General features: G+C 36.0%; 1 long non-coding RNA gene across 3 annotated transcripts in view; it reads right to left on the bottom strand.

Moving 5' to 3' along the window:
* Nucleotides 1-1,774: 1,774 nt before the first annotated feature.
* The window catches only part of LOC107986638 (uncharacterized), a 131,875-nt gene continuing 112,118 nt past the window's right edge, over nt 1,775-21,531 (bottom strand). Inside the window, exons 7-8 of one of the 3 annotated variants that reach the window (XR_002956366.2) lie at nt 7,363-7,479; nt 1,775-6,828 (exon numbers count right to left, since the gene is read on the bottom strand). This is a non-coding gene — a long non-coding RNA (uncharacterized LOC107986638). Of the gene's footprint in view, nt 6,829-7,362; nt 7,480-19,273; nt 20,118-21,531 lie in introns of those variants that run through there. The other 2 variants (XR_001744315.2, XR_007059717.1) reach the window with 2 other exon arrangements.

Raw genomic sequence — 21,531 nt, 5'->3', positions numbered from 1 at the left:
AAATATTATGCAGCTAAATGCAAGTTGAAATATACAATTTAATAATTGTTCACAAATGCAAATATTCAAATAAAAACTTTCCCAAATATGATATAAAACACTTCTGGCCAGGGCAGTGGCTCCTGCCTGTAATCCCAGCACTTTGGGAGGCCAAGGCAGGCAGATTGCCTGAGGTCAGGAGTTCAAGACCAGCCTGGCCAACATGATGAAACCCCGTCTCTACTAAAAATATAAACATTAGCCGGGCCTGGTGGCAGGCACCTGTAATCCCAGCTACTCAGGGAGGCTGAGGCAGAATAGCTCAAATCTGGGAGGTGGAGATTGCAGTGAGCCGAGATTGTGCCACTGCACTCCAGCCTGGGTGACAAGAGTGAGACTTCATCTCAAAAAAAAAGAAAAAAAAATTCCATCACTCAGAACGTCATCCTTTGTTCAGTCCATCTCCACCTCTCTAAGCAACTATTTTTCTGATGTCTTTCAACATAGATTCTTGTGTAATTATTCATGTAAATAAAATCAAACAGTATATGAATTTTAGCTAGCTTTATTCACTTAATATAATCTTTTTCAGATTCATCTATATTGTTGTCTGTATCCAAAACTGACTTTCTTTTAGCGCTAAGTGGTATTTCATTGTACTAATACACCATAATTTGTTATTTGTATTCCCATTGATGAACATAAGAGTTATTTCTGGTTTTTGGTGATTAAAAGTAAAGCTGCTATGAACATTCTTGTACAAGACATTTTAAAGACACATGTTTCCATTTCTCTTGAGTAAATATCTAGGAGTGGAATTGCTAAGTGATTATTATATGTTTAACTTTTTAAGAAACCACAAATAAATTTTCTAAAGTAGTTGTACTACATTACCCTGCCACCAGCAGTATATGAGTTCCACTTACTTCATACGCTTGCCAGCACTGGATATTATCTATGTTGTGGGAAAAAAATTCTGATTTATGTATATGGTATATCATTTTGGTTTTAATTTTCATTTCCCAGATAATGTGATATTCAGTATCTTCTCACATACTTCTGGGCCATCCTATATCTTCTTTTGTGAGATCTATTCAATTCATTTACCCACCTTAATGGACTATTTGTCTTCTTCTTATGGATTTGGAGGAATTCTTTAAATATTCTGAATACAGTTCTGTCGTTGAACATATGTATTTTTAATATCTTTTCTTCTGCCCATAGTCTGGCTTTCCCTCTTTTATTGGTGCAAAAAAAAAAGAATTCTTAAATATTTTAATGAAGTCTAATTTATGATTACTTCTTTCAAGTTTAGTGCATTTGTGTTCTCTAAGCAGCTTTTGCCTATACCTAGGTCACAAAAATATTCTTTATATATTTTTCTAAGAGATTTATTGTTTTAATCTTATAATTTAGGGCTATAATCCTTCTTGAATTTGTTTCTGTGTGTAGTGTAAGGTGAAGCTAAGATTCATTTTTTCCCATGTATTTATCCGATTAGTTGCTCTATTATCATTTATTGAAAGGGTAAAGTGTCTTCATTGTCCTCTGGTCTTCAATGTTCTGATGATAATTCAGCCATTATTTGTATAATTGTTCCCTTATATGTGATGACCTCTTTCCTCTGACAGCTTTCAGTATTTTGCCTTTATCTTTTATTTTCTAAAGTTTTACCATGATGTGCTTAGGTGTAGTTTACTTTGTGTTTATCTTGCTGGGAGTTATCTAGGCTTCTTGGATCTATAAATGTATGTTGTTCACCAAACTTGAAAAATTTGGGGCCAATATATTTTAAAGTAATTTTTGTTTGCTTCTTTCTCTTTATATTTATCTATTTTGATGTTTACTGACTCCTTTGTATTAGTTTTCAATTGATGCCATAACAAATTGCCACAAATTTAGAGGCTTAAATCCACAAAAGTTTGTTATAGTTTTGTAGAACAGAAATCTGACACAGTTTCTACTGAGCTAAACCAAGGAATTGGGAAGGCAGTACTTCTTTCTGAGAGCTCCAGGTAAGAATCTGTTTTCTTGCACATTCAGGTTGTTGGTGGACTCCAGATTTTGTGAAACTGACATTCCTGTTTCTTTGCTGACTGTAGCTGAGGGCCAGCTTTGGCATGTGACTTCCTCAGCTTCTAAACAAGCAACAGAAGGTCATGTCTCTCTCAGCACTTCAAATCTCTCCTGCCCTTTTCCATTATCTCAAATCTTTGACCTACTTCCACTTTTCAGGGTCCATGTGATAATCCAGGATAATGTCTCTACTTTAAAGTTGACAACCTGAATTCCTTCTGCAAAATTCCATTTTCCATGTAAAGTAACATATGCACAGGTTCCAGAGATTACGGTGTAGACATCTTTGGCAGAGGGAAGGGGCCGGCATTATTCTGCCTACCACAGCTTTTTATCTGCTGGCTTCAATCTGCTGCTAAATTCATCCATGGAACTTTTTTATTTTGGATGCTAAATTTTTTATTTCTAGAATTTCTATTTGATTTTCTTATAGTTTTCATTTCTCTACAGAGACTCACCATCTGTTCACTTATTATAGTCATCTTTTAAATTAAGTCCTTATGATAGATGCTTTAAAGTCCTTTACTGTTAATTGTCTACTAATTTTCATGGTATGTTAATTTCTTCTGTTCTTGAGGATGGCTCACATTTTCCTATATTTTCATATATCTAATGAATCCTTCTTGCACACTTGATATTATGGAGAGAGACTCTGGTTTCTATTAACTTCCTGTCAGAAGTGGTGCTTTTGTTAGTTTGTCTGTTTGCTTGTTCATTTGTTTGCTTTTTCTGGCAGCCAGTTAAATTGTTGACTAATCACATTGAATTTTTGAAGACTTTATTTTATATTTTGTTAGAGTCAATCTGCTTCACCTTTATTCCTACACTTAAACTATAGCCCTTAATCAACAAACACAGTATTTACATCTAATATGGAGTATTTCATGGGTTTTACTGAAAGTCTGAGGTGTTTATCAATCAGGATTCAAACTCCAAACACTGTCATCCCACCAAGAGGCAATGGCTGAAATCTATGCTTAGCTTTTTTATCCTTTAAGTTTGTATTTCCCCTGGACTCCTTAGAGTATGCCCTATATATAAATTTCAGAAAATGACACAAAGGATTGAGGGCAGTTAAATTAAAGATTTTTGGTATCCTGTTTCTGTGGCTCCTTCATTTCTGGACTTTCTCTCATTAATTTCTACTCACTCTGTTAGCCTCTAACTCTGTCCTCTAACATCACAGGTTGATAAAACTGTGCCTTCTGCTTAGTTGTATCCAATTGCACCACTCATTGATTGGGTATTTCCCCTCATTGTAAATGTGGCTGTCACCCAGCATGGTTTCCTTTTTTCAGTGTCAAATATTGTTCAGTGTCTGCCTAGTTTTGATTGCCCTCCAGTGCCTTCAAATAGCTTTACAAAAAATATTTTGTCTAGGATTTATAATTGCTATCTGCAGGAAGGCTAGTCCAATACAAGAAACTTCATCATTACTATAACTAGAAAGCTGACTCGTTTTTCAAAGGATAAGAATAAGCTTTTAAAGGATAACTTTGCCTTCTGTGTTGAAAATATACAGTAAGACAAGCAGTCAAGGATAGAATCTGAGAGGCAATTAGGAATTTCTTACAATAATCCAGGAAAGAGGTCAGGTTGGCTTGTAATAGAATGGCAGAGGTAAGGTGGTTAAAAAGTTATCAATTCAGTAAATAGTTTGTAAGTAGAGCCAAAAAGCTTCCCAACAGATGGAGAAAGAAGATAAAAGAGAGAAGTCAAGGATTTCTTCAAGACTTAGTAACTTAGCAGTTTTCAGTAACTGGCATGAAAAAGTTATACTGGGGCCTTGGGGGTGATGGGGAAAGGGCAAATAATATGAGTTTAGTTGTAAGCCATTGTATTAGGGTTCTGCAGAGAGACAGAACTAATAGCATATATGTATATATAAAAGGGAGTTTATTAGGGAGAATTGGCTCACACAGTTACAAGGTGAAGTCCCACAGTAACCTGCCTGAAAGCTGGAGAGACAGAAGCTGGTAGGGGCTCAGTCCAAGTCCAAAAGCCTCAAAAGCAGGGAAGCCCACAGTGTAGTCTTCAGTCTGAGGCCAAAGGCCCAAGAGCCGCTGGGAGGCTGCTGGTGCAAATCCCAGAGTACAAAAGGTCAGAGAACCTGAAGTCTGATGTCCAAGGGCGGGAGGAGAGAAAGTAAGCATCTGGCATGGGAAGGGAGAGACAGTAAGAGACTCCACAGCTGCTTATCCCCATTCTTTTGGCTCTTTTGTTCTAGCTGTGCTGGCAGCTGATTGGATGGTGCCCACACACATTGAGGGTGGATCTTCCTTCTCTCAGTCCGCTGACTCAAATGTCAATTTCCTCTCGAAACATCCTCACAGACATACCCAGGAACAATGATTCACCAGCCTTTTAGGCATTCCTCAATCCAGTCAAGTTGATACCTAATGTTAACCATCAGGAATGTATTGAAATCAAGATGTTTATTAGACATCTAAGTAGAGGTGAGAGTAGGCAGTTGGATATACAAGTCTGGAGCTCAGTGGAGATGTCTGGCTGGAGATATAAATTCAGAGGTTGCATTGGTTACCTATTGCTGTGTAACAAATTATCCCCAAACTTAGCATCTTTAAACAAAACAAAAGTATTTATTATCTCATGCAGTTTCTGAATGTCAGAAAGTCAGACGTGGCTTAGCTGGGTGGCTCTGGCTTCGAGTTTTTCATGAAGTTATAATCAACTTGTCTTTAGGATGTGGTCTCAGAAGACTTAACTGGGGCTGGAGAATCTACTGCTAAACTCACTCATGTGTACTGTGGCTGGAGGCTTCAGTTCCTCACTTCTGTGGACTTTTCTATAGGGCTTTTCGCAACATGTCTTCACAATCTATAGGTTGACCCACACTAAAGAGAAGTAGAATTGAGCCCAACTGCTTGAAAAAAGGTGTATCAAAAAATTTGAGAATATATCTTTAAAAGTATCACAGAAGTTATCCGCACATAGATGATAATTAATCATCCATGGAGATAAAATATCTGAGTGGGATCACCAAGGAAATGTGTAAAATAGAGAAATCTGAGAGCTAATCCCCAAATCATACCAACAGAAAGCAGTCAAAGAGAAAAGAAGAAACAAATAAATGATGTTTTAATGGAGATATCAGTGAGATGATAGAAAAATAAAAAAAAATTACAAGGTCCTTGAACCTAGAAAAATGAAGTATATTGTGTTCCAGGCACACAAAACACAGACATTGTAATGGACTTTACAATGATATCAGCTTTCTATTTTTCTACGCTTAGTTTTCTGACGTTAATTGCATCTCACATTTACTACATAATTATTACATGCTGTATGTATGCTTGGGCATTTAAAATATATTATATCTTTATAATAAGGTTATGAGAAAAGTTTTATCAGCATTTTACAGATGAGAAATATGCAGTTTAGAGAGTTAGATACCTTTTCCAAATTTACATGAGTAAGTTGCAAAGCCCGTAACTGAATCGTGGTTGGCCTAATCCAAAGCACAAATATTAGCACCAACTTTCAAAATATGCACCAAATTATAAGCACTTTATAATTACTGTCTCTTTCATTTTTCATTAGTTAATTTAGCCATAGAAACAAAATTCGTGTTTATAAAAAATTGACCATAATTCTTAAGAACTCTGAAATAATTTTTGTAAATGAAAGAAATTAATATGCAAAGTATACAAAACATAGTATCTCATCAACACAATAGAGCATGATCATTCTTCTTTGACAATGTCCATTACATTCATCTTTCCTTTCCATTTCTACTGCTATCTATTTTCCTATTTCCCTGTTAGCCATCTTATTAGCCTCTAGTCTCTCCCTAAAATCCTTTCTGTGTATAACTGCCACATTAATCTCCTGAAACACAAATATCATCCTGGCTTATCCCTGCTCGGAAAATTTCAACGACTAAATGGAATCAAGTCCAGACCTCTGATTCTGGCATTTCTTTCTAATCTCATCTTCTTAGCCTGGCCTCCAGTACAGCCAGCCTATAAATATTTTATGTAGTTCTATCTTCATTTCTTTTTCTTTTCCTTCCTGAAATGTTTGCCATCCCTTCCAAAATCTCCCTTCAATATAACTGACCGATCTATGTCCTGCATGGAGCCACAAGGATCTCTCTATTCTCTCAACTCCTGATGTCCCCATATACTTACTGTACTGCTTTATATTCTTAATTTTCTTTTTTATGAATTTCTTTACCATTAATATGCAAACTTCTTGAATAAAAATACTATGCATATTTCATTTCATTACACATTCTATGCATGTAACAAGATATCACATGTACCCCATAAATATGTGCAAATATTATCTATCAATAAAAATTTTTTAAAGTGAATCATATAGTTTATAGTATAGCCTTTTACATGTAATAGATGCTTAATATTTACTTAACGTTAACTAAGTCAACAGTGACTATTATACATACCATAATAATAAATGCAGAGAACTTTGAGCTATATGTACTTTCTAAGAGCTGTACATATATTAACTCATAAATCCTCTTTCTTAATTTCCTAAGACTTTACAAAAATGTCTAAAATTTACTTTTCAGAAAAAGAACTCTTGAATAGGCTAAAATGTGCATTTTAAATAACATGTGTGACATAGGTCATACATACCATGCTCATAACTTAAGCAAAGGATTGGCCCTGTGCTTTTGGCTTCTCTATCAGAACAGAGATGGTGCATAATGATGTGAATGTGTCTGGTTATCACTTCTTTCCCAGTAACACTTTTTTTGCCTCCAAAGACCATCATCTTTATCCTATTCACCTTAAATAAACATAAAGACCAATTTATGTTTCAATACACATTAAGTGCTATTAAATAGCTCCATTAAAAAGCAATTAATTACATTGTGAATATAGGCCTAGTTTGGCCAAATTGTATCTCCCATAGTGCATCCTGATGTTAGGTGTCTAAATCAGTATAACAAAAAGGGAAGTACTCTAGGTTGTTGGTTGCAGTATCTGAACTTGGAATGATGCTACATGTAGACACAGAAATAAATAACATAAAGTAGCTATATCTACACTACCAAATTTAATCTTCTGAGGCCTCTTTTTTTTACACAGACTTAGAATAGAAAGCTAACATTCATTTTTTACAACATAAAAAAAAAGTCAACCTTGATAATGGAGAAAAAAATAAGCGTATTTATTTTTTACAATCAACAGTTTGTAATCTACGGTCTTCTTCTTATAGAGTACACAAAAAATTCCTGATTTCTGTGGAATCTAGCAGTTTCAGAAATGTAACATTTTATGAGTGACATTAAAGTAATACAAAAGTTCCAAAGTAAGATACCTGGAATTGGAAATCCTGATAAAGTAGAAACTATTTTGCAATTTCCTAGAGATGGTTGGTTAATATTTTTTTCCTAAGGCTTGGAAGATTGTCTTTTTCATCTCTGTCTCACAGCACCTGAACAAAAAGACAAATGTACCCATAACATACCCATCTCAAAAACAAAAGAAAGAAATGGTATTTCTGGGTCCAGCAAAGAATCATGGCAGAAGGGTTTGGTGGGCTTCCTAAAACTCAGTCACGATGTTTATTCTGGTTTGGATTTAATCAAAAATTAAATGCTATATGGAGTTTTAACTTTTTTAAAAAACTGTTACTTTCTTGGACTATTACAAAGCAATGATTATCTGGTAGCATATTGTTCTCACCAAACCAGATGAAACTTCAGTACATCCTTCCAAATCCCCTCATGACTTAATCTTGAATTGAGCAACACAGAACAAAAGAATCAATTCTCTTTTTAAGGAACAAATGTTTAATCATCACGCTGGACACAAGCCAACCTGCAAAATCCCTACATCTGCCAAAAAAGACACTTAAATTTTTTTCAAAGACATTACTAGCACTATCCAGAATTGTTAATTCATTCAAGTTTGTCTTTGGCAAATCCCGGTACCCTATTTCCCTGAGGTTTTGTTGGTGATGTTGGTGGTGGTTTTGTTTGTTTCTTTGTTTGTTTGTTTTGTAGAAATAGGGTCTCATTGTGTTGTCCAGATTGATCTTAAACTCCTGGCCTCAAGTGATCCTCCTGCCTCAGCCTCCCAAAGTGTTAGGCTTCAGCCACCATGCCCAGCCTCTGTGCTTTTTTTACAATTTTTATTTTTTCTTTTTTTTTTTTGAGATGGAGTCTCTCTCTGTCACCCAGGCTGGAGTGCAGTGGCGCAGTCTTGGCTCACTGCAAGCTCCACCTCCTGGATTCATGCCATTCTCCTGCCTCAGCCTCCCAGAGTAGCTGGGACTACAGGTGCCTGCCACCACGCCCGGCTAATTTTTTGTATTTTTAGTAGAGACGGGGTTTCACCGTGTTAGCCAGAATGGTCTCGATCTCCTGACCTCGTGATCCACCTGCCTTGGCCTCCCATAGTGCTCTTCTTCAACATCTAACATTAGGTTCCTAGAGTTGTCAAATGTATCCTCCAACCCCAATTTAAGTATGTGGAGAAATAAGCTAAAAAACATTTTCTAAAAAAATGTCAGTGGCATTATTTTTGCCCAGTGTTTGTACTTTAAAGAAAACATCTTCTGAGCACCCATTTTGTTCCAAATTCTGGGGAGAAAAGTGAAGAAGAAACCCAGACACTGTATCTGAATTCTCACAGTCTAGCAGGAAAGACAGAATTACAACAGATACTAACTTACACTGAAGTATGGTTTTGACAGAACAGTGTTAAAGATATAAAGAGAGATATTATACTCTATTTTGGGGGTCAGGAATGCCTTGGAATTCTTTGCCTTGGAAGAAGTTCTGAGTTTGAGATATTTGTGGAACTTCAATCTGGAGATATACAGGAGGAATTAATATTAGGGTCTGGGGTTCTGTGGAATATCAGGGCTAAAGATATTAATCTGAAAAGATCAGTATCATCCATCCTTAGATAATAAAGAAATGCATAAATGGAATATTTCCCAAAGCCTATACCCTGGACTAATTATCTCATAAGATGTTTTGAAGAAAATAGAGCCCCATGATAAAATAAGATAAAGGAACACCACACTTTATCCCCCTCCTCTGGAAATGTGTAAATGACATGAACATTTTAAAGGTACTGACAAGTCCTACATTAAGACAAGATGTAGAAAAGTATCAGGAGATTATTTATTAAGAAAGACAAAAGGTAAGAAATTTGAAGAAGTTAAATATGATAATTTATATAAATCCTAGAATAATTTCCAAAGATGAGAATTTGCAAAGAGAAAGTCTTACTCAATTTCCTGTTCCATGACCAAGCAGAAAACATGGAATATATTATGTGCTCAGTGATTATTTGGCAGATGAAAAAATAAACAAAAAAATACAATTCCTCATATAAGCCTTTTATACATTCTACTAAATGCCAATGAAGATAGAAAAAAAAAAAAGACTGGCAACAGTACAATCAAATTTAGACAAATTGACAAAAAGAATAGAATTTGATTTTGGAGAAAGTTTCATGAAATTTAGAAATGTGTTCTTAGTCTCTAGAGCAGTGGTTCTTAACGAGAGAAAGCGATGATAATTTTGCTCCCCAGGGGACATTAGACAACATCTGGACATATTTTTGCTTATCACAACTGGGAGTGGGGTGTATCTACTGAGTAGAAACCAGGGAGGTTGTGCCCTACTCAGGAAACACAACTCCTACCACATCCTACAATGCACAAGACAGCCTCCATGGCGAAGAATTATCTGACCCAAAATATCAATAGTGCCACTGTTGAGAAATACTGCTCCACGACAAACAATACAACTGCAAATGCAGAGCAGAGCAAGAAGGCTGAGTCCAAATCAGTGGTCTTTGATTTACCCTCCCTTTGCTGCTCTAAACTCTAGCAAATAAATAAATGAATACACAAATAAATACATAAAATACATGCACAAACCACAAAAACATGCAATTTTTTCTCCTAAACCCTAAGGAATCACTTTTTAAGCCAGCCAGAGCCTGCCCCATACATCCCTTCAGGGTCCCCAAGGCCATGAGAACCATATGTTGGGAAACATTGATTGAGATGCCACTCCTCTCAAGAAAAGAATTCCATGGTCAATCTTTTCTGGACTAACTACTGTTAGAAACAGACATATCTGTGCAAGACGTGCAGATCTGTGCAAATAAATCTGCCTTTGGTTCCAGAGCCAAAGAAGGAAGCTGCCTGAACCTAGGTGAAGAGCAGACCAAGCTAATGAAACTAAGAAACTGTCTTTCGAAAAATGCCAGGTCTAGATAGATCTCTATCTGCTAAGGGTGAACAAACAGAAAAATAATCAGTAGGGAAAGGAAAAGGCAAAGCTTAGCAGACTATGCTTGATGTCTTCAAAAACATGAAAGATGAAAGTGGCCTCTGGAAAAAGGGGGTGAAGAGCATAGAGTGTAAGATCGACGCAGAGATACAAAGAACTCTGACTAAAGTAGAAAAAGAATACAATGAAACACCAGAGCAAGAGCAGGGCTAAAACTCCCATTAGAGACAATAAAAATAGAAGTGATCAAATCAAATCTGTAATAAGGATGGCAAGTTTGAGAAGCCTTGAATCCAAAGGGAAAGAACAGAAGTGAAAGTGACAAGAAAACTCATAGATATGAATAAAAGGAAAAAATAATCAACTTTAGAAAGCTGGTTCTGACATCACTCAAGGAAACCTCATAATACATATAAATCTACCTACAGTGAAGAAAAACAAATTTATAGATTTAGAAACTTCACCAAATATATCAAGCTAAAATAGTAAGACTCATTATTGAAAATAATAGAAATTTGGGATTATGAAGCATTAAAGAAAAAGGGAATAGTTTGCCAATAAATGGCTAAAAATCAGGTTGATGTTAGACTTCCTGAACCATACCAAATGCTGGAAGAAAACGTAACAGCTTACTAGATGCCTATATACATACATACAAATCTGTGAAGAATAATTAGAGAAAATGACCAAAAGATGATTGCGGTATGAAACTTGCTTACCCTATAAGTATGTGATAAATATAAAAGAAAAACAATGTATGTGGTTTTCACATTTTAATGAATAAGATTAATACTTATGCATCAAAGAGAATAACCCTTTTCAAATGTCAAAAGTTACTGATATTTTAATATACTGTATTACATTTTAATCATAATGTCTGTCCCCTCTGCTTACAATAAATTTACCCCTCACTCCCTCCTTTTTCCAGTTCAAATCCAGTGCTACTTTGGCAAATAGGCTCTCTGTACAAAAGTAAGTCCCAATTTGCAGTTTTTGCCAATTTCCATGGTGGAGATATTCCCACCACAGCCCATTTCAAGCTACCAGTGATTTAACAACTCAGCTGTTGATTCCTAAATACTTAACAATGGAGCTGGTAAGAGCCAGCTCTTTTACACCACTGAGAAATGTTACCTTCTCTGTGAAGCAATTTCTCACTTACTACATGTCATTATAGTTAGCTCTTGGCATTTATGTTTTTATCATTAGACTAGGAATCACTTGAGGGTAGAAACTGTCACAACAATAAGAGTTGTTGCTAGTTTAGTAGAGAAAGGGAAATTTGGCTGGGAATCTTGAATCCTGGATGAAGAAGCACTGGTACCACAAATTTCCACTGGAAAAGACCAACAAACACACATACTTTATTACTGCAGGTTGGCCTCAATATGCGGGATGTGATTCTAAACTCCAGTGAGCTAGAATGGACCCCAGATGAACCAAACTCTTGTGTGTCTTGGCCCACATGAAAATGTGTCAGATATTCACTGTTGCCCCTTTTCACTAAACATGCACACCTGTAATCCCAGCACTTTGGGAGGCTAAGGAGGGCAGATCACGAGGCCAGGAGATCAAGATCATCCTGGCCAACATGGTGAAACCCCGTCTCTGCTAAGATACAAAAAAAAAAAAATTAGCCAGGTGTCGTGGTGTGCGCCTGTAGTCCCAGCTACTCAGGAGGCTGAGGCAGGGGAATCGCTTGAACCTGGGAGGCAGAGGTTGCAGTGAGCCAAGATTGTGCCACTGCACTCCAGCCTGGCAACAGAGTGAGACTCCATCTCAAAAAAAAAAAAAAAAAAAAAAAATCCAACCTAAGTTTATGATCTTTCCACATTAATGGCATAGTGAAGAAAAACAATGAGAGATAATTTTAGGGCTCAGAGCAACAAATTAGCACATCCACCCCCCACCCATACTCTAGGGCCCTGGACTCTATCCTGATTACTAACTGGCTTTCAGATGGATACAGCAATGAACTTAATCGAGTCTTCTATAATGTGTACACAGATAAAAACATCACATTGTACCACATACATATACAAAATTATTATGTGTTAAATGTAATGTTTTAAAAGGTAACATTTTCCCAAGGGAGGGAAGACTTTGGATCCCTGTATGATGCTGTCATAAAAGAAAAGCAAAACAAAAACAAACAAAAAGTTCAGAAGTCTGTACTTTGGATTTTAACTCCTTTGTTCATTTCACCCAAAGCTCTAACCCCTAGACCCCTGGCCCAATGGTGCCTCAGAATTTCTGTTGTCCCTGATCTGAAGTAGAGTGGGACACCTTAGGATCCAGGGATGGAGAGACAACTGTTGTTGAAGTAAAAAGAGACTTGGACTCTCACTATAGGGCAGTAGTAACCCTAGCAGCGGGTCAGCAAACTTTTCCCAAAGAGCCAGATAGTAAATTAGACTTGCAAGCAGTATAGTCACTGTCAGTAGAGATTAAAACTGCATAATTCCCATTTCATAACAATTAAATTATCTTTAATTTTCAATAGGACTAATTCAGAAAAGATGAAATATTATTAATGATATAAAATAAAACATAATTTGCTCATTTCACCAAAATCAACAAAGAGCCTAAGAACATAATTGCAAGAGCCAACATCCTCTTCAGCACTGAAGGACAGCAATATTTGCTAATATGCCTCATTGTTAATCTAGCAGTTGTGTCCACCTGTTTGACACAGAAGAACGTTCAGCAACCATTTCCCTATTGTATCAGAACACTTTAAATTATGTTCCACACTGAATTCTATTTTAACGTGTAGTCTCTGAAAATAAAAGTTATTCAAATTAAACTTTATTTTGGCTGCAGGTTTAATATTTTCATGACCATTTGAGAATGTAAGGCATTTTATATATATTTCTGAAGGTCTTTTCTGACACCTTGTCTGTACAGCTAAATTAACAACTGTAACAGAGTCAATCTGGTATTTACATCTGTTCTTAACAACCAAATAAAATTGCTATATGGTCAATCAGTTGATCAATGCATAATCGGTTGTGAAGATAACCAGAAATATTAGCCAACTTGTTAACTGTGTGAACATATAGACAAAGACAATGAACAATTTTGGAGGATGGAAATAAAAAAATGTAATCAAAATTGCTCTGATGAAAAAAACAATTTAGATGAATGAGGCCAAAATTTTATTCTATTTTTTTGTCTTGTAAAGTCCTGAATGTTTCATGCTTAGGATTTTTGACATTTATTAACTACCTCCAGCAATATCTTATATGAGACTTGCTTGAAATATCCTCTCCCCAACCTTCCATCAATACCACCACTTTACATTTACTAAAATAAAAAGTATGGAACTCTGTGTTTTCTGAAGTAGACACAGATAACAAGTTAATTTAAGCAGTTATTTTACATAAACAATATTGACTGTAACAAACTACATACAAAAGACGATACAATAAAACCAAGGAGGGAAGCAGCTACAGAAGACAGTGAATAATAAAACCAGCTTTTAAGAAAGAACATAAAAAAAAGTAGATGAAAGCTTGAGAACACAACCTCAAACATAACTGAACAGTTAAATTTTAGGCTGGGTGCAGTGGCTCCTGTCTGTAAGCTTAGCACTTTGGGAGGCGGGGTGACTGAATCACCTGAGCTCCGGAGTTTGAGACCACCCTGGGCAACATGGTGAAACCCCATCTTTACCAAAAATAGAAAAAATTAGCCGGGTGTGGTGGCATGCACCTGTGGTCTCAGCTACTCAGGAGGCTGTTGTGGGAGGATTGCTTGAGCCTGGGAGGCGGAGGTTGCAGTGAGCTGAGACAGCACCACCGCACTACAACCTGGGTGAAAAAGTGAGACGCCCCCATCTTAAAAAAAAAAGTTAAAAGTTTAAAAATCAATTTTGTATATAATGTATATCATATGTATATACAATGTATATACAAAATTCAATAACATTAAAATTGTATATTTTATATAAATTTTATATATGTATATATAATTTTAAACAAGTAGATTATTACCTCTTGCAAATGGAGCATATAGATACCTTGACTGATTTTTTTTTACACTTCCATCCAAAATATTTTTGGTCATGTGTATGCAAACAGATACTACAAACTTTTATGGATTTAGTATTAAAATATTAAAGGAAAATGAGCCTTATATGGCATTTTTACACCTTATTCATAATTTCACTTGTGTCTAAGAGCTCTGACAGGTGGGTCGATTAAGAATTATCATCAGACATATTTTATAGATGACATACCTGTAGGTCAGATAGACAAAGTGACCTTCCTGAGGTCACACTATTAGCTAAAGGGTGAAACTGACATATGATCAAGGTGTTCTGACCTTTTCCGTGGTACAATTCGGCTTTCCACCATATCATTACTGAGATGTGAAAAATAAGTTCTTTATTTTATAAATAATCCATCTATTCTCCTAAAACTTGCTGAAAAATGCATAAACATCAAGGATAACATGCATGTTTATCCAGAAGAGTCAGAATAAGTTAAGCCTCCCTGGTGAGTTACACATCTTTGGCTGTAGAAGAATATGAAAACACACCCAGTCTCAGTCTCATTTGGGTTCATATTTTAAGAACTTAATTGCCTGTTTGTCCAGACACACTGCGCTAACCATAGGGGAAGGAAAACAGACTTGCTTCTGTTTTGGACCAGTTGATGTGGGAACAATAATTCATTATTGTTTTGGAACTGTAATGTAAAATTATCAATATTTAATGGGTGAGATGGCTTGATACAAATACTTTTTTTAAACTAGGCTTTTCTCTTCTCTAGCTGTGCCCTGTCAAAAGTCAATAAAATAAAAATTTCAAAACAAAAACACAGCAGCAAGTCTCGATTTTGACCACCAATTGAATCGATAGTTAATCAGCACTGAGAAAGAAATAACTGACGGAGACTTTCTAGTGATTTGAGAGAGTATGGAGAGTTCAGTTTATTTCCTAAAACCTAAAATTTTATGTTTTCATATGAATAATGTTGAAAACATGATTACTAGAAAACAAGCTGCCTGATTTTGACTGCACTGAGAAAGAAAGATGCCCTCTAATTATTCACACAGTAGTCTAACCTTTACCAGTAGCCTTAAACTTCAGCTTGTTTTCTATTTACTATCTTCACGATGTTCAGATTCTGCAGCATTTATTGGGTGTCTGTGATGAATGCCTTCAATCCTACTCATAGTTTTAACATTACTGCTTCTTCCCTCATATTGTTTTAAAGTTTTTGTTTTGTCTTGCTTCGTATCAATATCATGGCTCCTGTTACTTTCTTTTTTACAATTTTTATCATTATTTCTTGAGTATTTTTTATGCATCAGACCTAAAACGAGTACTTTTAGATATTATCATATTTCATCTTACTTGACCTTCAAAACCCACGAGGTGGGCCGGGAGCGGTAGCTCATGCCTGTAATCCCAGCAGTTTGGGAGGTCGAGGCGGGTGGATCATGAGATCAGGAAGGAGATCGAGACCATCCTGGCTAACACGGTGAAACCCCCTCTCTACTAAAAATACAAAAAATTAGCCAGGCGTGGTGGTGGGCGCCTGTAGTCCCAGCTACTCGGGAGGCTGAGGCAGGAGAATGGCGTGAACCCAGGAGGCGGAGCTTGCAGTGAGCTGAGATCGCCCTACTGCACTCCAGCCTGGGCGACAAAGCGAGACTCCGTCAAAAAAAAAAAAAAAAAAACCCACGAGGTGGGCATCATTATGCCTATTGTGCAGATGGGAGAAATGAGGACTCAAGACTCATTTATCAGCAGTCTCATATTCATGCAGTAGTGAGGCTGGAGCACAAAACCAAATCTATCTGATTTCAGATCTCATGTTCTTAATTTCTAACCAACTCAGCTTCTGCTTTGTTATGTTATATCATATATAATTTCAAATTGTACACCTATGGTGACTACTTCTTTAAAAGTTTATACAGAAAAGGAATAATGTATCCATCCTTCTTCCACACATTATCATCCCCATCAAATCTTCTGCCCAACCATGGCCCATGGGGACTTCTTAATTTCTTTCTATAGAAAATATAAAAAGGCATCAGGCTGATTAACACATTCAGAGAGTGTTAACTCTGCACTCTCCTAAAGAGGTATGAAAAAAATATTTCACCCTGTCGATTAGTCTGTGTGGTAGGTTAGAGATGGACAAAAATTCTTCCATACTTTTCCCATCTCCTTCCTCTCATTTTACCACCTAAGCTGGACTACTCCTTTGACCAATAGAGTATGGAGAAGGTGATGCTTATGTCATTTTGGGGGCCAGCCTTTAAGAGGACTGGCTGTTTCTGCCTTGGCCTCGCAAAGCCCTGAATCACAATGAAAGAAGTTTGACCAGCCTGCTGAAAAACCTCATGGAAATATCTTGAGATTACATGAAAAGAAACATGGGCTCATCAGAGCCTGGCCTCCCAACCACGCCTACCAAGGTTTTAGGCATGGAGTATGGTAAGTCATGTTCCCAAGAGACAGAATGTGAGACTTGAACTTTGTGTGCAGTATGTTACTGAGAAATTCTTTCCCAAGGACAATACCTGTGAGTGAGGAGCAAAGTACACTAGGGAGAGAGAGGAGTTGAGCTGTGATACCATTTCAACAGGTAAGTTTTGGAGCTATGGTGGCCATTGAGAGTTGTTTTGTATTGAAACAAAAAGTCAGTTCTTATGCTATGCTCCAGCATAGGAGAATCACTGGATGCGGGCCCATGTCCACCCATGCATTAGGGGGTTTGCAACTTTTATTTAAATGGCTCTTATTTAGGAGTCTATGCAAATAAGTTTCATTGTTTTTTTCTTTTCTACAAATCATAGTCCCTTTAAATATGTATTGTTAGTATGTTAAGTTTTTACATGAACATTTTGTAAAATGTTCTAAGTTAAAATTGACAAGATTCTTCTTGTAAAACCTATTCCAAGAGTCCTCTCCTGACACCTACCATCTTCAAACTAATTTTAGTAGAGAATCAGGAAAGTCAAATTAATATCAGTCTACTAGGAATATCTTGCCCAAAATCCTTTCCAATCCCAGAGCTCTTTTGTTAGATTCTTTTTTTGTTCTAATTAGTTGTATAGAGAATCAATCAAAGGAGTATATAGATAAAAAGTTTCAAGTCTTACTGTATTAAACCAATAAGAATCAATAAGAAAATCTTCATTTTTATCTACTTCTGATTTCCTAGACAAAGAACTTATAAAGTAGGGATCACAAACTAGGCTGCACATAATATTACTGCCAAAATTAGAGGGGAAAGAATTGCTTTTTTGACAAATTAATTTTATATTTCAAATGGCCTAAAGCAGCTCTGTCCCTTGTTATATTTTAAATTTATATTAAGTTGATAGGTGCAGCTCTTGATGAAGTGGCATCTTTCTCTTCGGTCATAGCAAGAAGGAAACAATCACGTTTCTCTGGGTCAGTGTTCCCATTTGCTCTTATGAAATGGCCTTAGAAAGCAACTGAGCCTGTTTTCTCTCATTGCCATCACTCCATAAACACGTAGTTTTACAACTGCTTAAATTAAAATGACTTGACTCTACCCAAGAGCTCTACTCATTCCACTATTTAGAAAACCTTTTAACCTATTTAGTTAAGTAATAAGATTTTACTCTTATTCAAAATCTCACATTTTAATTAAGGTAATCGGATTGATAGAGTTGTTTCTAAGACAGAGGTAGATTATCAGGCCAAAATCGCCTCTTCTTAATATGTGGCATAGAACCTAAACATCTCAACTAAATAAGTGGCCATGTACTTACAAAACTAACAATTTTTTAAAAGAAATTTATATTCTCAGCATCTCTACAGCTCACCTCCATTTGATTGGAAAACCCTGAAACTGAGCAGAAACTTAAATCAGGCTCCTACATGTTCACAATGGAATGTCAGATCTGTGGTCTCTGCAGCTCATATCTAAAGCATATGGTTTTCCTTGATTCAAGAACACAAAATCGTGGCCCACAGGGCACTCATCAGAGAATTTTCCTCAGAACTGACTGCCTTTCAGAATTTAACAAAGACTCACTTACCACAATGAACATTTGATTCAAATGGGATAAGAGACATTTTAATTATCTGTGACCCTGGCTACTGGAAACATAATACCTCTATCACTAGCTACCCCAAAGCTTATCAAGAGCTTACAGAAATGAACACTTTTATGTTCTCTTGCTGGAAGTAAAAACATATTTCCAATTTTCTGTTGGACACCTGACAATATGAACTAAAATTGAGAATGCACATGTTATATGACCTAGAAACTGCAGGGGCAAGTATTTATTCTAAGGAAATTATTGCATTTTTTACAAAGTTGCATGGACGTTGACTGAAACTTTCTTTTCTTAAGAGAGATAGTGTCTTGCTCTGTTGCCCATGCTGGAGTGCAGTGACATGATCATGGCTCACTGCAGCCTCCACCTCCTGGACTCAAGCAATCCTCCTACCTCAGCCTCCAAAGTAGCTGTGACTATAAGAGCACAGCACCACACTTGGCTAATTTTTTTTTTCCTAGAGATGAAGTCTCATTTTGTTGCCCAAGCTGGTCTCAAACTCCTGGGCTCAAGAGAGCCTCCCACCTCAGACTCCCAAAGTATTGGGGTTACAGGCATGATCCACTATGCCAGGCTTGAAACTTTTTACAGTGCAGATAAATTGGAAATAACCTTAATACTCATTGAGAGAAGGCTAAGTCTGGCATAGTAATACAAAGGAATACCATGTAGCCATTAAAAAGACTAAAGTAGTTTTTTCTATATATGAATCTGTAAAGATTAATTGCTAAGTTAAAAATGTGAAAAAAGAAAGTATAATTTCATCTTGTTTTTAAGTGTATATAAGTATACATATGCATATAAGAAGGTATAGAAAAATAGACACAGAACTGTAAATAGTCACTATGCAGTGGTGGAGACTCACTGATTTTAGACTTTATACATTTCTGTATTCTTAACTTTTTACAATGAGCCTACAGTACCTTTTTATTTTAGGAAAATTAATTTATTCATTAAAAATGCTTCAAAAAGAACAGGCTGCACAATATTATTTTAGCTCCCATTTAACTTGTAGAGTTAAAATTTCATGTTAAATTCTCATATCTATAGAGGAGATGATATAAGAAAACTTGAACAAATGTTTTTAAGCAAAATTATAGTTAGATCACAATAACGATTGTTAGTATCCAGCACTGTGCTAAGTGCTTTACATGGTTTACTTCTTTTAATATTCAGAACTCCCTAAAATAGGCACTATTATTATCCATACTTTATAAATGAGCTAAAAAATAGTACTATTATTAGCCATATTTTACAAATGAGCAAATTAAAATTTAGATACATTCAGTAACTTTGCCAGTTTGGGGTAGAATCAAAATGCTAAACTAAATATGTCTAATTCTACAGCCAATGTTCTTAATCACTATGCTAGACGGTTTCACTATTGTATTACATTAAGGCCATGATCAGAAAAAGAAAAGCTGCTCTTTGCATTCCATATTTGTCATTTTTAAGATAGGGTTTGGGGCTTTAGAAAGGTCAAAAGAGCTGTGGGAAAGAAGGTCAAAGCAGCCTCCAGCTATATCTCAGTCTGAAGGTCAAAGTCACGTTGTTCTTCATAGCTCACAGAAGCTTCTGCAATTCTCAAATCTCTGGGAAGCTTCCATCAGTGGTCTCAGTCTATAGTGGGAAAGCAGGTGCTTCTCAGCTTACTGGGGGAGCCTCCAGGACATTTCATATCTGCTCATGCAACTGCCTCTGCAGAATACTGGTTCCTTCTGTCCCATCTTCCAATATCATGCAGCACCTCTCATCGGCCAGCTGTAAACTGAAGCAACACGGAAAAGAGGATTCTGGGAAATATGATACCTGGCTTCTTCTCTACAGTGCAGAAATAATCTTGGAAAGGGGTTGTGGGATGCTAAGTTGACAACAGATGATCCAAGATTATTGGTTTATTAGATATTTCATGTGTATATCTATATAGAGAGACATATACAGATACACACATTTATATACATACGCTATACATTTTAGATGTATACATAGGCAGTGTAGCATAATAGTTAAGAACACTGACTAAAGTGAGATGGTTTGTACTCAAATCCTGGTTCCCCCTTTTTAATTGGGTGGCTTTGGGCAAATTGCTTAATTCCTCTATGCTTCAATACTTTCATCTTTAAAGTGGGTTAGTAATATTACTTACCTCATAGGATTGTTGTGAAGGTTATATATAAATATATATATGTATGTAAATAACAAAAAGTGCAAATTTAGCATGCTTAAGGCAATAAGTGAGACACAACAGCAAAAGATGTGTTCAGGAATGTTAGTAATGGTATTAAGTATGAAGTTCATTCTAAGTGTGGTTTAGAAAGAGAACTCAGAATTATTAACTGAATTATAAACAGAATTAATGGAAGTATTAACATAATAGATGTTGTGTAATGTTTTAATTATTGTTGTATTTGTGGTTATTGGACATCGCATAATAAAATATTTTAGTATGCAGTGCCAGGAAAAAGTTTTTTCTTTTGACACAATATGAATCAAAACCTCATCATACTTTATTTTGTTTGTGTTGAAATTCAGAAGTAGATTTAGCACTTGTTTAAAATGACTAACATACCAGCTTCAGATAAATCTATTCATTAACTACACTTGTTAGATCTTTATTCTGAATTTTATCCTCCATTGTCCAATTTATATATTCAGTTTGTAAGGTAGTGGAATATAAAGATAAGGAGGAATTTTAGAAAAGAGAAAAGAAGGAGGAGGACTTGCCCTTATACTCTATATTGCTTATTTTCATCTCTTTCATGCCCTCCTTTAATATTTGGTTCTTCATTAGACTGATCTTCTTAAAAACTAATTTCAATTATTATTTCTGATTATTGGATGCTTCATTTCTAAGAGGTTTTTATGTTACCTCTTAGCTGGACTTCCTAACTTACATTAGGAAATTCACTAACCCTGATTCCATTTTAAAAACAGATACATATTTTAAAACTCCTTGCTATAATTCTACAATTCACTTGAGTAAGAAACAGAGTTACTCATGTAAGAAGCAGCTCAAGTCAAACCAGTGCCTGGAATTCTGAGCATCTCTCCCATCATTTGTTAAAAGCACTGATTGGTTTCACCACCCAGCGTGACCTCAAACATAGGATGGTTCTTTTCCACTGAGCAGCAGCAATTGGGCCTTGATTTGAACCCTGTTTTCAACCTCTGAAAGTTGAATT

Source organism: Homo sapiens, chromosome 6 (assembly GCF_000001405.40).
Source record: "Homo sapiens chromosome 6, GRCh38.p14 Primary Assembly".
Classification (NCBI taxonomy): Eukaryota; Metazoa; Chordata; class Mammalia; order Primates; family Hominidae; genus Homo; species Homo sapiens.
Note: the sequence above shows the minus strand (reverse complement) of the source record. Positions and strands in the feature narration are given on the sequence as shown.